Genomic DNA, 17,279 nt, shown 5'->3' on the forward strand with positions numbered 1-17,279 from the left:
GAAGCTGCAGTGAGCTGTGATAGTGCCACTGCTTTCCAGCCAGGGTGACAGAGCAAGACCTTTTCTCTAAAAAAAAAAAAAAAGAAAACCATCTATTAACATGTATTTCATATGTTAAATATATACTGTATTCTTAAAATAAGCTAATGAAAAAATGTTATTAGAAAATCATAGGCCGGGCATGGTGGCTCACGCCTGTAATCCCAGCACTTTAGGAGGCCGAGGTGGGCGGATCACGAGGTCAGGAGATCGAGACCATCCTGGCTAACATGGTGAAACCCAGTCTCTACTAAAAATACAAAAATTAGCTGGGCTTGGTGGCGTGTGGCTGTAATCCCAGCTACTCAGGAGGCAGAGGCAGGAGAATTGCTTGAACCAGGGAGTCGGAGGTTGCAGTGAGCTGAGATTGAGCCACTACATTCCAGTTTGGTGACAGAGAGAGACTCTGTCTCAAAAAAAAAAAAAAAAAAAAAAAAATCATGGCCGGGTGCCGTGGCTCAGGCCGGTGCGGTGGCTCACACCTGTAATCCCAGCCCTTTGGAAAGCACTGAATCCTAGCCACTAGACCACCAGGGAACCACAATCCCAGCACTTTGGGAGGCTGATGTGGGTAGATCACTTGAGATTAGGAGTTCGAGACCAGCCTGGCTAACATGGTGAAACCCCATCTCTACTATTTTATTTATTTTTTTCTGAGATGGAGTCTTGCTCTGTCATCCAGTCTGGAGTGCAGTGGTGCAATCTCAGCTCATTGCAACCTCCGCCTCCTGGGTTCAAGCAATTCTCCCTATCTCAGCCTCCCAAGTAGCTGGGATTACAGGCACCTGCCACCAAGCCCGGCTAATTTTTGTATTTTTTTTTTTTTTTTTTTTTTAGTAAAGACAGAGTTTTGCCACGTTGGCCAGGGTGGTCTCTAACTCCTGACCTCAGGTGATCCGGCCACCTCGGCCTCCCAAAGTGCTGGGATTACAGGTGTGAGCCACCACTCCTGGTCCCATCTCTACTAAAAATAAAAAAATTAGCCGGGCATGGTGGTGGGCACTTGTAATCCCAGCTACTTTGGAGACTGAGGCAGGAGAAACACTTGAACCCAGGAGGTGGAGGTTGCAGTGAGCCTAAGTCACGCCATTGCACCCTAGACTGGGTGACAGAGTGAGACCCTGTCTCAAAAAAAAAGAAGAAAACCAAAAACAAAATCATAAGGAAGAGAAAATATATGTACTGTTCATTAAGTGGAAGTGGTTCATATGTCTTCATCCTCGTAGTCTTCGTGTTGAGTAGGCTGAGGAAGAAGGGGGATTGGTTTTGCCATGGCACGAGAAGAGGTGGAAGGAGAGGCAGGCACACTCAGTTTAATTTTTATACACTGTAATTTCTGTCTGACTTATTTCCATTTTTGTTTTCTTTCTTTCTTTCTTTCTTTTTTTTTTTTTTTTTTGAGATGGAGTCTCGCTCTGTTGCCCACATCTTGGCTCACTGCAACCTCCGCCTCCCAGGTTCAAGCGATTCTTCTGCCTCAGCCTCCTGAGTAGTTAGGACTACAGGCACACGCCATCACGCCCGGCTAATTTTTGTGTGTTTAGTAGAGATGGGGTTTCCCCATATTGGCCAGGCTGGTCTTGAACTCCTGACCTTGTGATCCGCCCGCCTCTGTCTTCCAAAGTGCTGGGATTACAGGCGTGAGCCACCGTGCCCAGTGCATTTTTATTTTCATAAAAATATCTCTGTACAGTACCAATCCTTCTTACACTGTCTGCTTCAGTTTCAGTGCCTGTATCATAGAAGTGTCCATGTTGTAAAAGAAATCAAAAGCAGTCTTGAATAATTGGAACCCACCTTCTGGATTGTCTAATGTCAGTTTGTTGTCTGGGCACTGCTTCTTCTGTCTTCTTCCTCACTGTCTAACACTGGTTCAGAAACACTCATCTCCATCAAGTAGGCTTCAGTTGATTTCCTCAGGTGTGGTGTCTGTTCGCTCTTGAATTCCTGCAACATCCATATCTTGAAACTTTTTGCCCTCTACCTTTTTTTTCCTGTATATCCACAATCTCTCTGATGATTTCCTCAACTGGCTATCTTGTAAATACTGTGAAGTCATGCACAACATGTGGACATAGCAGGAATTTATTGTTTTGAGCTTGATTTCTTTCACAGCTTTTTCTGTACTTAATAATGGCATCGTTATTCTAGACTTTCATGATGTTTTCTCTGTCAGAATTGTCTTCCACAGCGTTAACAATCTTTTCCGTAGATTTGCTGTGTGTAATGAGCCTTAAAGGTCTTATGACCCTCCTTGTTATCTAGAGGCTGAATTAGAGACATTGTGTTTCGGGACAAGTAGACCACTTGGATGCCTTTGGTATTGAAGTCATGGGGTTATGGGTGGCCAGGGTACCTTGTCCAATATCAAAAGAACTGTAAAAGGCAGTCCTTTACTGGCAAGTTAATTCCTGACTTCAGGAACAAAGCATCAATAGACCCAGTCAGAAAAAGAATTTCTCATCCAGGCCTTCTATTTGTGCAACCAAAAGACTGGCAGCTGGTGTTTGTCTTTTCTCTTCAAGGCTTAAGGGTTAGCATCTTTATAGATAATGGCAGTCCTGATCATAAACCTGACTACATTTGCACAAAGCAGTAGGGTTAGCCTGTCCGTTCTTGGACTTAAATCCTGGTTTATGCTCCTCTTTTTTGCTAATAAGTGTTCTTTGTGGCATTTTTTCCCAGAATAGAGTACTTTTGTTTGCATTAAAAACCTGTTCAAACAGGCTGGGCATGGTGGCTCATCCCTGTAATCCCAGCACTTTGGGAGGCTGAGACAAGAATAGCTTGAGGCCAGGAGTTCGAGAGCAGCCTGGGCAAAAAAGCAATACCCTGTCTCTACAAAAAATGAAAAAAAAAAAAAATTAGCCAGGTGTGGTGGCAAGTGCCTGTGGCCCCAGCTACTCAGGCGCCTCAACCTACATATCAAGCAATTTATACTTTTTCTTATATTATGACTTTGCTTCTTGGGAAAACAACTGGCATCACTAGTGGCAGTTCGTGTGGGTCCTGTGGTGTTTTTCAAGGTTTACAGTATTGCACTAAACGATTTTTACTGCAATATAAAATTTCTTGGAGATGCTTACATGGAGATAAGCATGTCATAAGGCACTTGAAGCAAATAAAAAACTTGAGCCCATCAAAATAGCAACAGGAGGTGGCTATGAAATTACTATAATAATATTGTATGTATATAATTAATCTTATGCAGTTATAATTTAAGACTGCATCTTTGTTTACATTTCTCTTGACTGCAAATGAAACCACCTACAGTCTGTATATGCTTCAGTCTTGATAAATTTTAACTTTTTAAATAGCTTTGTGTATATTTTATGGTAGTAAATTATAAAATAGACTAGTATTTGCATGTTTTATGCATTCATGACATATCTAACTTATTCTTAATTTTTTGGATATTTCTGGGCAATGCAGTTCTTGGAAGTTTTTTTCAAATTGTTATAACTCTCTAAAAAATTTTCTAATTTATTGAAAGAAAATTGTGTATAAGTGCAGTTCAAACCTGTGTTGTTCAAGGGTCACCTATACCTTGAATGTTCTTTATTAACTATATGTTTTGGAGTTTTTTCTCTTCACAGTGTCTATGTACTCATTACTAGATTATTTATGATTTATGTTTGAAAAGAATTTTTTCTTGATTTTATGATTTACTTTTTAAGACTTACAATAACAGCACTAGGAGAAAAGCTGAATGATTACTGGAATGAAATGAAAGTGAAGAAAAATACAGAATATCCTCTAAATTTGCCAGTTGAAGATATACAGTAAGTACATTTTTAAAACATATCATTTCACTTAGATATCAAGATGTGGTATTAGAGAGTAAAGGGATTGTACAATGTTTCACAAACTTAGGACTGTAACTCATAGGAATAAATTCTGCAACATGAATTAGCGCACTGCAAAATCAGTGAATAGAATGTAAACCTGTATACATGCACACAAAACATCCATAAAACAATGTTTACCCATATGTGATGCATGTTAATGTTATTTCATTTTAAGATGCTATGGATGGATTATATAATAGTTTGAAAAACACTGGTATAGTGTATCATTAGGATGATGGGGCTGAAACCCAACTTGAGTTCATATTCTCATTCTGCTTAAGTAGCCATGTGGCATTGAACATATTACTTGGCCTCTTGTAAGCCTCCATTTTCTTGTGTATAAAATGGGAACATTAAGAGCATTTGCCTCCTCGAATTATATGAATTAAATAATATGCCTGACAGTCACTTAGTAACACATCACAGGATAACAGTCCTATAAATGAATGAATGAACAATATCTGTGTGTTCTTTATCTGTGTGTTCTTTATACATTATTATACATAATTTATACATTATACATATTATTCATAATTTATACATTATTACAAAGATAACCAAGATATATAATGAAAAACAAGAAAGATGCAGCTCAGTGTATAGACTTCCCATCGTACTTTTCAATTTTTTTATATTTAAAAAAAGTTTTATACAGGTGGGGTCTCCCTGTGTTGCCCAGGCTGGTCTCAATGTCCTGGGTCCAGGTGATCCTCCCACCCAAAGTGCTGGGATTATAGGCATGAGCCACCGTGCCCAGCTTGTATTTTTTTAATGTGTCAGTATACACATGCATACTTTATAAGCATAGAAAATTTCTGCTAGTATTTTAAAAATTAGCAGTGGTAATTTCCTGAGACAAGGAGTTTATAAAGTATAAAGTTATGCTTTATAAACCTCTAGATTGTTTTGAAGTTTCGGATTTGTTTGGTTGGTTGGTTGGGTTTTTTTTTTTTTGGTTTTTTTTTTTTGAAATGGAGTCTCACTCTGTCACCCAGGCTGAAGTGCAGTGGCGCAATCTCAGCTCACTGCAACCTCCACCTCCCGGGTTCAAGCAATTCTCCTGCCTCAGCCTTCCGAGGAGCTGGGACTACAGGCGTGTGCCACCACGCCTGGCTAATGTTTGTATTTTTAGTAGAGACAGAGTTTCACCATGTTGGCCAGGCTGGTCTTGAACTCCTGACCTCAGGTGATCTGCCTGCCTTGGCCTCCCAAAGTGCTGGGATTACAGGCGTGAGCCACCGCGCTCATCCTGTTTTGAAGTTGTTTATAAATATCTAAATGCTTTTTCAAAGCTAGATTTAAAAAGCAGGCCAGGTACGTTGGATCACATCTGTAATCCCAGCACTTTGGGAGGCCAACCGAGGCGGGCGGATCACTTGAGGTCTGGAGTTTGAGACCCACCTGATCAACATGGTAAAACCCTGTCTCTACTGAAAATACAAAAAGTAGCCAGGCATAGTGGTGCACACCTGTAGTCCCAGCTACTTGGGAGGCTGAGGCAGGAGAATAGCTTGAACCCGGGAGGCAGAGGTTGCAATGAACCGAGATTGCACCATTGCACTCCAGCCTGGGCGAAAAGAGTGAAACTCTGTCTCAAAAAAAATAAATAAAATGAAATAAAACTAGATTTAAAAAGCTATTGACATTAAGGTGAAGTTTTCATATGTAAAATAAGTCTACATAGGCTGTATCCAGTGGGTCACGCCTGTAATCCCTGCACTTTGGGAGGCCAAGGCAGAAGGATTGCTTGAACTCAGGAGTTGGAGACCAGGCTGGGCAACGTGGTGAGACCTATCTCTTAAAAAAATAAATAAATAAAGTAGAAGCAAAAAATAATTAAAAAAATAAAAGAATATATACAAGTTCTTTACAGGAATTATTGTGATTTTTCTTTTTTTTTTGTTTTTGAGGTAGAGGCTTGCTCTGTCGCCCAGGCTGGAGTGCAGTGGCGCAATCTCGGCTCACTGCAAGCTCTGCCTCCTGGGTTCATACAATTCTCCTGCCTCAGCCTCCTGAATAGCTGGGACTACAGGAACCCGCCATCACGCATGGCTTATTTTTTGTATTTTTAGTAGAGATGGGGTTTCACCGTGTTAGCCAGGGTAGTCTCGATCTCCTGACCTCATGATCCACCCGCGTCAGCCTCCCAAAGTGCTGGGATTACAGGCATGAGCCACCGCGCCCAGCCTTGATTTTTAAATGAGAAAAATATGAAAGCATTTTGTAAACTAAAAGTATACTAATTTTAGTTATTCAGAAATAAGAGGGCAAAAGTGTCTTATTTAAAGTTACTTAAATTATAACAACAGAATTCTGTTTTCTGGACTTGAGTGATTTATTATGCTAATAAATACAATATATTGTAGATTTAACATTGTAGACACTAAACATAAAGTTCAGGGCAAGGCATTTGAAATATTAAGTTATAGAAAAAATTTAATGCTATTAAGACATAAGTCACATTGTTCAAATTGGCTTGTGACTTTTAATCTTTTGAAGGTAACCAAAATGGTTGTGTTTAATTTTTGAGAGATGGGGTCTCACTATGTTGCCCAGGCTGGCCTCATACTCCTGTGCTCAAGCGATTCTCCAACCTCAGCCTCCTGAGTATCTGAGACTAAGGTGTATGCCACCACACCCAGCTCAAAATAGTTGTTTTTAAAATGTATTTCTAAAAAATACCTGCTTTAGCCTCCCAAATTATAGGCATGAGCTACCGTGCCTTGCCTTGCCTTTTCTCTTTTCTTTTCCTTTCCTTTCCTCTCCTTTTTTTTTTTTTTTTTTTTTTTTTGACAGGATCTTACTCTGTAGCCTAGGCTGGAGGTCAGTAGCATGATTTTGCAACCTCTGCCTCCTGGGCTCAAGCAATCCTCCCACCTCAGCCTCCCAAGTAGCAGGGACCACAGGTGTGCATTACCACTCCCAGTTAATCTTTGTGTTTTTTTGTAGAGACAGGGTTTCACCATGTTGTCCAGGCTGGTCTCTAACTCCTGGGATTATAGGCATGAGCCGTCGCACCCAGCCTAATTTTGAAAGAGTTACGTCATAATTTTTAGGAAAGGAATTAAATAATGGCATCTTGTGGTAGAAATGATGTGGAACATCTGATGAAGTATTTAGAGTCCATATTTCTGTGTTAATATTTTGTTCTTGTTTTGGGACAGGAAGCGTCCTGATCAGACATGGGTTCAGTGTGATGCCTGTCTAAAGTGGCGGAAATTACCTGATGGGATGGATCAACTTCCTGAAAAATGGTATTGCTCCAATAACCCTGACCCACAGTTCAGGTACCATAGAGTTGGTAGTACCCTTTTTGGAAAGACGGAAAGTACTGTTCACAGTGTATGAATAGGCGCTGGTGACATGTTATTCCTATGTGATTTTTCTGAATAGAAATTGTGAGGTTCCAGAAGAACCTGAAGATGAGGATTTGGTACATCCCACTTATGAAAAAACCTACAAAAAGACGTGAGTGTTGTATTGATGTATAGTGGGTAATAATGCCCAGATCATGAACAGTGATGCCTTGGCAACATTATTTGATGCTTCTCCAAGGTAAAGCACCTGTAACTGAAAAAGTTTATAATGTGGAGTGCGTAATATCAAGGGCTTTAAAAACAAAAACTTATGCTGTGGATACCTGCTGTTTATTTCATGCTTATTGCTGCCATATGTGCGGATGTTTTGTGTAAGAGCAGTCTGCTGTTGTGAGCTGTATGCAGAGGAATCATTAGTGAATACCCCCCCCATTGAAGCTTATAGAGAAGGTGTAACAGAAGAGGTGATACATGAATTTTACCAGTTACGTGTTGGTGAGTGCCATAGAAGCTCTGGTCCAGTGCTGTAAGGAAGCTCATAGGGAGAGTAGTTCTGTCTGGTGGGCAGGAGAGCAGAAATAGATCAGGAAACTTCATGAAGGAGGTCATTTTTGTAATAGGCCTTGAAGGATGGGTACGATGAGAATGTACAGGGAATAAACATTTACTCAGTGTAGCTAGAGTATGTGAATGGGAATAATGGAAAATGGATGTGGCACTTTGGGAGGTTGAGGCGGGTGGATCACCTGAGGTCAGGAGTTCGAGACCAGCTTGGCAAACGTGGTGAAACCCCGTCTCCACTAAAAATACAAAAAGTAGCCGGGTGTGGTGGCAGGTGCCTGTAATCCCAGCTACTCGGGAGGCTGAGGCAGGAGAATCGTTTGAACCTGGAGGGCAGAGGTTGCAGTGAGCCAAGATCGCATCACTGCACTCCAGCTTGGGCAACAAGAGTGAGACTCTATCTTAAAAAAAAAAAAAAAGATAGTGGAAGTGGGACAGATGCTGAATAAGGATAGTCAGCCAGTGGAGACTTCAGGCTAATCTACCACACACAGAAGGCCAGGTTACTAAGAGCCTTTCAGGTGGCTTTGATTTGTAGTGTACTATTCTTTAGTGAAATCCAGCAATAGTATTGGAAGTATAGAAACCTATGTGGGCTGGTGTGGTGGCTCACACCTGTAACCCCAGCACTTTGGGAGACTGAGGTGGGTGGATCACTTGAGGTCAGGAGTTTGATACCAGCCTGGCCAACATAGTGACACCCCGTCTCTACTAAAAATACAAAAATTAGCTGGGTGTGGTGGTGCATGCTGTAATCCCAGCTACTCAGGAGGCTGAGGCAGGAGAATCACTTGCACCCAGGAGGCAGAGATTGTAGTGAGCCGAGCACACCACTGCATTCCAGCCTGGGCGACAGAGTGAGACTCTGTCTCAAAAAAAAAAAAAAAAAAAAAAAAAAAAGGCAGGTGTGGTGGCTCACATCTGTAATCCCAGACAGGCCAGGAGTGGTGGCTCACACCTATAATTCTAGCACTTTGGGAGGCTGAGTTGGGCGGATCACCTGAGGTCAGGAGTTCGAGACCAGCCTGGCCAATGTGGTGAAACCCTGTCTCTACAAAAAACACAAAAATTAGCCGGGCATGGTGGTGGACGCCTGTAATCCCAGCTACTCGGGAGGCTGAGGCAGGAGAATTGCTTGAACCCGGGAGGCAGAGGTTGCAGTGAGCCGAGATTACATCACTGCACTCCATCCTGGGCAAGACTCCCTCTCAAAAGAAAAAACCTATGTGATGTTCTAGTTCAAAAGCCTGTGATTCTGGACTGAGTTATCTGGTCTTAGTGGAGAAAAAAACACCAAAGATCTGCAGTTTATACCGGTGAGGATGGAAAAATTCAGGCTAAAATTAGGGTGCTACTGAGATAAAAGGTAGAAAGTATTTCCTGAAGGGCTTACTGTTGATTATATTGAAATAGAAGCAGAGTTCAGAGTACCTTAGTAACTGCATAAATGGCAGGTATGTCATTGGGAAATGGGATTGAGAAATAACAACATGTTTTTCATCTTTATTTTAAAGCAACAAGGAAAAATTCAGGATCAGACAACCGGAAATGATCCCTCGGGTAATTAAGCCTTCTTTTTTTTTTTTTTTTTTAAATAGAGATGGGGGCTGACACCCGTAATCCCAGCATTTTGGGAGGCCGAGGCAGGTGGATCACCTGAGGTCAGGAGTTCAAGACCAGCCTGGCCAACATGGTGAAACCCTGTCTCTACTAAAAACACAAAAATTAGCTGGATGTGGTGGCACATACCTGTAATCCCAGCTACTCGGGAGGCTGAAACAGGAGAATTGCTTGAACCTGGGAGGTAGCTGTTGCAGTGAGAAAGATTGGTACCATTGCACTGCGGTCTGGGCCACAGAGCGAGACTTCCATCTCAAAAAATAAATAAAATAGGGATGGGGTCTCACTGTGTTGACCAGGCTGGTCTTGAACTCCTGGCCTCAAGTAATCCTCCCATCTCAGCCTCCCAAAGTGCTAGGATTACAGGTATGAGCCACCACACCTGTCCAAGCTTTCCATTTTATAGCTGTGTCTTATATTGTGTAGTGCTTAGTTTAATCAGTAGTGAATGTTAAAGTTTAATACATATCAAAGGGATTTGGTTTATTTAGTTCATTTTCTTCTCTTGTACTTCTGCTTGCCCACCTTTCCAACTCTTCCTAATCCAACATCATTCAAACTGTTAGTTTGATTGTTTAGTTGGGTATCTTCTGAGGAAAGGCAAACAAACTTTAAAAATTGTACTGTTAGATAAGCAGTTAAGGAAGACATCCCAGGAACACCCAGGAAGCCATATTTTAGTGCTAACCGGGACAAAAGCCATAGTGTTTTTCCCAGTGTTGACTACTCTGCCTGGCCTCTCTCTTCTGTCTTAATACTTACTGTGTTAAAGAGCTTTGGTTGAGTATAGATTCTCCTAGGCTTACCGTAGAGTTACATCCTGATAAGCCCATTATAAGTTGAAAATGTTTTTAGCCGTGGTGGCTCATGCCTGTGTTCCCAGAACTTTGGGAAGGTGAGGTGGGCGATCACTTGAGGCCAGGAGTTCGAGACCAGCCTGGGCAATATGGCAAAACCCTGTCTCTACTAAAAATATAAAAAATAATGTGGTGGCAGGCACTTGTAATTCCAGCTACTCAGGAGGCTGAGGCACAAGAATTGCTTAAACCTGGGAGATGGAGGTTGCAGTGAGCCAAGATCACACCACTGCACTCCATCCTGGGGAACAGACTGAGACTCTGTCTCAAAAAAACAAAAAACAAACAAAATATTGTTATCAAAAATGCATTTAATACACTTAACCTATTGAATATCATAGCTTCGCCTAGCCTACCTTAATTGTGCTCAGAACTCTTATATTAGCCTACATTGGGCAGTCATCTGACAGTCTGTTTTATCATAAAGTGTTGAGTATCTCATGAACTTTATTGAATACTGAAAGTGAAAAACAAAACAAAAATGATTGCTTGAGTACTCGAAGTACAGTTTCTGCTGAATGGGTATTGCTTTTGCACCATCATAAAGTTGATGCCATTGTAAATCAGGGGCCATCTGAATGCAAGTAGGCAGTTGTGCTTCTTGCTTGAGAAGTTTGGGTCTTGATAAGTCTAGTAGCAAAGAGGTCACCACATGGTAAATCTTTTTGGCTTTGTGGGCCACATAAAGTCTCTGTTGCATATTCTTTGTTTTGTTGCTTTGTTTCTTCACACCTTTTAAAAATACAAAGCCATTCTTAGCCTACTTGCAGGCTGGATTTAGTTCATTGGTTTACTTGTTGATTCCTGGTATAGCACAAGGAATTTACATGTTTGGAATTGTTTTTGTGTCTTCTGGGATAAGGGGGAAGAGGAAGATTATATCTTGTGTTTTGGGCATGTCACACTAGAAATAGTTCCTTTAAGGTGATGATTTTTCCCTCCAACAGATTAATGCTGAACTGTTGTTTCGGCCAACTGCTCTTTCAACTCCAAGCTTTTCTTCTCCTAAGGAAAGTGTTCCAAGAAGACATCTTTCAGAAGGAACAAATTCTTATGCGACAAGACTTCTAAATAATCATCAAGTTCCACCTCAGTCTGAACCTGAGAGCAACAGGTCAGTGGCTAAGATTGGTTTTCCATTTGGGGAATATTAAACAGAGCTTTTACTTGACACTTCTGTGACAGTGATGCAATTCGGGATCATTGTAGGTTCCATTGTGAATTGTAGGTTCCATGAATGTGAAAATCTTCAGGACAAATTGTCTTGCTTTTATTGTCTAAACTTAGGCTAAACCCTACTTCTGCCACCTGTTAAATTCGTTAAAAAGTATTAATTGACCAGCCTGGCCAACATGGCAAAACCCCATCTCTACTACAAATACAAAAAAATTAACCAGGCGTGGTGGCGGGCACCTGTAATCCCAGCTACTCCAGAGGCGGAGGCTGAGGCTGAGGCTGAGGCTGCACCCCAGCCTGGGCAACAAGAGCAAAACTCCGTCTCAAAAAAAAAAAGCATTAATTGTATTCATTGTAGAGTTTGATCGCATTCTCACCTGTTTGAATTTCTATATAGTATGACAATTCCTGCTTTTAAGATGATCAGGACTTAAAAAAATGTGAAGCAGCCCGGGCGCGGTGGTTCACGCCTGTAATCCCAGCACTTTGGGAGGCCGAGGTGGGTGGATCATTTGAGGTCAGGAGTTCGAGACCAGCCTGGCCAACATGGTGAAACCCCGTCTCTACTAAAAATATAAAAATTAGGTGGGTGTGGCGTTACATGCCTGTAATCCCAGCTACTTGGGAGGCTGAGGCAAGAGAATCGCTTGAACCTGGGAGGCGGAGGTTGCAGTGAGCCGAGATCACGCCACTGCACTCCAGCCTGGGTGACAGAGCGAGACTCCATCTCAAAAAAAAAAAAAAAAAAACATGAAGCAATTAACAGTACGACACTATAGTGACCCAGAAGTTCTTTGCAAAGCCTATGGCACACTGTAGGCACTTAATTTATTGGAGGAGTGGATGGAGAAGGAAGGGACAAAGAGAAAGTGATGCATGAATTGAATAGTTAGCCATCTTGACTGGATTGATCAGCGAAGGCTTTGTGATGAGGTGGTACTTACGTTGGTTCCTGAAGTTCTGAAAACAGTAGTCTTGTAGATGGCCTCTTCCAATTTAATAGAATGAAGACAAGTGAAGAAGAATGAATGTGATGTCTACAAACGAGTGGATCACACTGACTATACTGATGTTTGTTATTCGAAGAGGAACATTGAAACAAGCTTCTCTAAGATAGTGGGGCCAGATTTTTTTTGAGATGTTTTGTAACTTTTATCAAATTCTCAAAGGAATTTTTGACCCCAAGGAAGATTATAAATAACTAACTGCCTTTATGCATATATAAATCAAAGAGGGCATATTCTAGAATAGTTTGCTCTTCCTTTCTTTATTTTTTTGAGTCGGAGTTTGGCTTTTGTTGCCCAAGCTGGAGTGCAATGGTGCAATCTCAACTCAATGCAACCTCCGACTCCTGGTTCATGCGATTCCCCCACCTCAGCGTCCCGAGTAGCTGGGGTTACAGGCACGCACCACCATGCCTGGCTAATTTTTTGTATTTTTAGTAGAGACAGGTTTTCACTGTGTTAGCCAGGATAGTCTCGAACTCCTGACCTCAGGTGATCCGCCCGCCTCGGCCTCCCAAAGTAATGGGATTACAGGTGTGAGCCACAGCACCCGGCCAGTTTGCTCTTTATAACCTGTGTATTGGACACTCATTTTGGAGCTGGATTGCTACTTTATTAAGAACTCATATTTTACAGTTCTCCTTAACATTTTTGGCTTTTCTTTGTAAGGATGGTTTTGTAGTTTATAGATAAGAGATTAAAGGTATTTTTAATGATTTTAACTTTTAGATTCAGGGTACATGCAGGTTTGTTACATGGGTATATGGCGTGATCCTGAGGTTTGGGGTATGAATGATACCATCGCCCAGCTATTGAGCATAGTACCCAATATGTAGTTTTTCAGCCCTGCCCACCTCCCTTCCTCTCTCCCCACTGTAGTGGTCCCCAGTGTCTATAGTTCCCATCTTTATGTCCATGTGTACCTAGCACTTACTCCCACTTATAAGTGAGAACATGAAGTATTTGGTTTTCTGTTCCTGCCTTAATTCCCTTAGGATAAAGGCCTCCAGCTGCATTCATGTTGTTGCAAAGGACATTATTTCTTTCTTTTTTATGGCTGCAAAGAAAATTTTTTAAAAGTTGGCCGTCATCAAAATGGAAGACAAGAATAAAGAGGGAAATTTTTGATTAAACAACTTTTTTTTTTTTTGAAACAGAGTCTTTCTCTGTCACCCAGCCTGGAGTGCAGTGGCATAATCTGTTTACTGCAACCTCTGCCTCCTGGTTCAAACAACTCCCCTGCCTCAGCCTCCTGAGTAGCTGAGATTACAAATGTACACCGCCATGCCCTGCTAATTTATTGTGTTGTAGTATAGATGGGGGTTCACCATATTGCCCAGGCTGGTCTCAAACTCCTAAGCTCAGGCAATCTGCCTGCCTCGGCCTCCCAAAGTGCTGGGATTACAGGCGTGAGCCACTTTGCCCGGCCTATTAAACAGTTTTTAAAGCCGTATTCTCAAATTTATAAACCAAAGTTTGTGGAAAGGGTGTATCTAAGTCTTAGGAAATATAAATAGGAATGAGCTTGGTAAGAAAAAGAATAGAGTAACTCCAAATTAAACAGGGCAGAGTAAGCAAGAAGTACTTGATACAGCAAACCAAGGGAAGCTGAAACCTAAGCTGCTGGAGGATGGTAGAAACCAGTTTACGCCACAGGTCCCTAGAAAGTCTCCTAACTTGGAAGCATTGGGGACTGCTGAAGGTGGAAGATAGATAGGGGTGAGAACCAGAGGCTTGGTTGGAAACTTAAAGTCGAGACCTCTTTCCAACCTGCAAAGTCTGGTGAGTGCCCTTTCTCTGCCTCTGTCAGAAGATAGGGAATTTACTTTATGGAGCAGTTTTTACTGCTGAAGATGTACATGAGCCATTGTTTTGAAACAGAATGAGTAAGGGAAAGTTTGGATACTGAATGGTCAGAAATCCACCCTTCCCTCCTCACTGGGCTCCAAGAGAGAAGCCCTAAATGATGATGGCAGTTTGAGCACCCTTTGAATCACAAGCTCAGCCCTAACTACTGCTAGTCAGTTTCACTCTTAGGTATACGCAGATCGCCCTGGATAGCCACATGTGTCATCTCCCACATGGGACAGCAGACTGAAACAAAGGGAATAGAAGAAAACATTGTGAAATTTATTGGGGGAAAGTGATGTAAACTTGAATAAATAAATCATTTAGAATGAAAAGCTTAACAGTCGGAAGATAGAGAAAGAAGAAAAGATACAGTATCTGTGCTGGAAAGCCACCATCTGAATAAGGGAGTTTCAGAATGGGACGTAGGCACTGGTATGGTGTAGCAAACATAGCTGCCTTCCAGAATGGGAAATCATACCAGAAAAACTGCATTTCCACTAACTACAGAGCATAATGTCTGGAAGGAGAGCCACTCAAAGACATAGGATCATGACATTTTTTTAACGCAGGGAATAAAAGATTTTTTCAGAAAGAAACAGATTATGTACGGGCAAGAGATGAGGAATTAGAATGGCAGAAACACTTGAATGGCAGATGAAAATGGAATGATGCTTTTAAATTTCTGAGAAAATAATTTTTCAACCCGGAAGCCTATATAACAGTTAAGCTAGCAATAGACTTGAGAGAGAAATAAAGATGTTTTCATCATGCAAAACTTTGCGTTTGTTATGTTCTGTGTACCCTTCATTAAGATGCTGTTGCAGGCTGTGCTCGCCCAATATGAGACAGTCCAAAAAAGAGGAAAATCCTTCCTGAGATCTAGGAGGTCTAACACAAGGCCCAAATAGCAAACCAGTACAAATATTCCTCCAAGTGTGGAAAAAGGCAATCAAATGGTGATAAATAAATGTGAACTATGCACATATTAACATGAATGAACAGGGAATGATGCAAATGAAGAAATTGGGGCAATTTTAATTCAGATAAAATTATTTCATATGAAAGGATAAATACTGGTTTGCTTTATGGCTTATCTTTGATCACTGATTACTGATAAAAATTATTATGGGCAAATGAAAATGGTGGTGCCATTCCCTGAGCTGAAGAATACAAAGAAGGGGCCGGGGTGGGTAGCATTCTGTTCTGGAAATGTGTACATTGAAATGCCTGGAGGTGATCAAATGCAGAGATGTTTGGCAGTAAATAGATCTGGTACTTCAAAGAGATCTCAATAGTCCATCGTCTTCATCTGTAAAAAGAGAAAATAATCTCTACTTCATTAAATCAGTGATTGGTACTATACAATGCGTCACTTTAAAAAATGAGCCTGGGTATTTCTTAGTATTGCAAAACTTATAGCTGGGCACAGTGGCTCATGTGTCTAATCCCAGCACTTTGGGAGGCTGTGGCAGGCAGATTGCTTGAGCTCAAGGAGTTTGAGACCAGCCTGGGCAACATGGGGAAACCCCATCTGTACTAAAAATATAAAAATTAGCTGGACGTGGTGGCGGGTGCCTGTAATCCCAGCTCCTCAGGAGGCTGAGGCAGGAGAATCACTTGAACCTGGGAGGCAGAGGTTGCAGTGAGCCAAGACTGTGCCATTGCACTCTAGCCTGGGCGACAGAGTGACACTCCATCTCAAAAAACAAAAAAACTGTTACAATACTGCATTTGTTAGAATGATTACTTCAAGGTCATCTATTTTGTCCATATTTTATAATCTTATGTTTTATGTATAAAATTTTTTTCAGCTTGAAACGGAGACTTTCTACTCGTTCCTCAATTTTGAATGCAAAGAATCGGAGATTGAGTAGTCAGTTTGAAAATTCAGTTTATAAAGGTGATGATGATGATGAAGATGTCATCATCTTAGAAGAAAACAGTACCCCCAAACCTGCAGTAGATCATGATATTGACATGAAATCAGAACAGAGTCACGTTGAGCAAGGTGGTGTTCAGGTTGAGTTTGTGGGTGACAGTGAACCTTGTGGCCAGACTGGTTCAACAAGCACCTCATCATCCCGATGCGACCAGGGAAATACTGCAGCTACCCAGACTGAAGTACCAAGTTTAGTTGTTAAAAAAGAAGAAACTGTTGAAGACGAGATAGACGTAAGAAATGATGCAGTGATTCTGCCCTCCTGTGTAGAAGCTGAAGCAAAGATACATGAAACCCAGGAAACCACCGATAAATCTGCAGATGATGCAGGCTGCCAATTACAAGAACTGAGAAACCAGCTACTCCTTGTCACTGAGGAAAAAGAGAATTATAAAAGACAGTGTCATATGTTTACTGATCAAATCAAAGTGTTACAACAGAGGATACTAGAAATGAATGACAAGTATGTTAAGAAAGAAACTTGCCATCAGTCCACTGAAACCGATGCTGTATTTTTACTTGAAAGTATTAATGGCAAATCTGAAAGTCCAGACCATATGGTATCTCAGTATCAGCAAGCTTTGGAAGAAATAGAAAGGCTGAAAAAACAATGTAGTGCTTTGCAACATGTAAAGGCTGAATGCAGCCAGTGTTCCAATAATGAGAGTAAAAGTGAAATGGATGAGATGGCTGTGCAGCTTGACGATGTGTTTAGACAACTGGACAAATGCAGTATTGAGAGGGACCAGTATAAAAGTGAGGTGAGTTATATCATCCAACATGTAGTCATGGAGTCCAGGGCCATTTAAACCTTAAGAAGCTGCCAGTTGGCTGGGCGCGGTGGCTCATACCTGTAATCCCACCACTTGGGGAGGCCAAGGCGGGTGGGTCAGTCACTTGAGGTCAAGGAGTTCGAGACCAGCCTGGACAAAATGGTGAAACCCCGTTTCTACTAAAAATACAAAAATTAGCCTAGCGTGGTGGTGGGAGGCTGAGGCAGGAGAATCACTTGAACCCAGGAGGCGGAGGCTGCCGTGAGCCAAGATTGCACCACCACATTCCAGCCT

At 41.6% G+C, this 17,279-nt stretch overlaps 1 protein-coding gene across 3 annotated transcripts in view, besides 1 other annotated feature; it reads left to right on the forward strand.

The window, feature by feature from the left end:
* Window positions 1–17,279, forward strand: part of MORC3 (MORC family CW-type zinc finger 3) — a 56,436-nt gene that overhangs the window by 32,707 nt on the left and 6,450 nt on the right. For all 3 annotated transcript variants that reach the window (NM_001320446.2, NM_015358.3, NM_001320445.2), the window contains 6 exons: window positions 3,717–3,821; window positions 7,052–7,174; window positions 7,281–7,355; window positions 9,280–9,325; window positions 11,190–11,356; window positions 16,085–16,973. In NM_001320446.2, the coding sequence (NP_001307375.1) occupies window positions 3,717–3,821; window positions 7,052–7,174; window positions 7,281–7,355; window positions 9,280–9,325; window positions 11,190–11,356; window positions 16,085–16,973 (1,405 nt within the window). The remainder of the gene's footprint in view (window positions 1–3,716; window positions 3,822–7,051; window positions 7,175–7,280; window positions 7,356–9,279; window positions 9,326–11,189; window positions 11,357–16,084; window positions 16,974–17,279) is intronic.
* Window positions 11,874–12,050: a silencer, noted in NCBI's record as "fragment chr21:37737075-37737251 (GRCh37/hg19 assembly coordinates)". NCBI's record gives its function as "represses an EF-1alpha promoter that drives an FKBP-Casp9 reporter gene in an ReSE screen in HepG2 liver carcinoma cells {active_cell/tissue: HepG2}" and the evidence as "EXISTENCE:reporter gene assay evidence [ECO:0000049][PMID:32094911]".

The sequence above is a fragment of the Homo sapiens genome, chromosome 21, assembly GCF_000001405.40.
Source record: "Homo sapiens chromosome 21, GRCh38.p14 Primary Assembly".
NCBI classification, from domain to species: domain Eukaryota; kingdom Metazoa; phylum Chordata; class Mammalia; order Primates; family Hominidae; genus Homo; species Homo sapiens.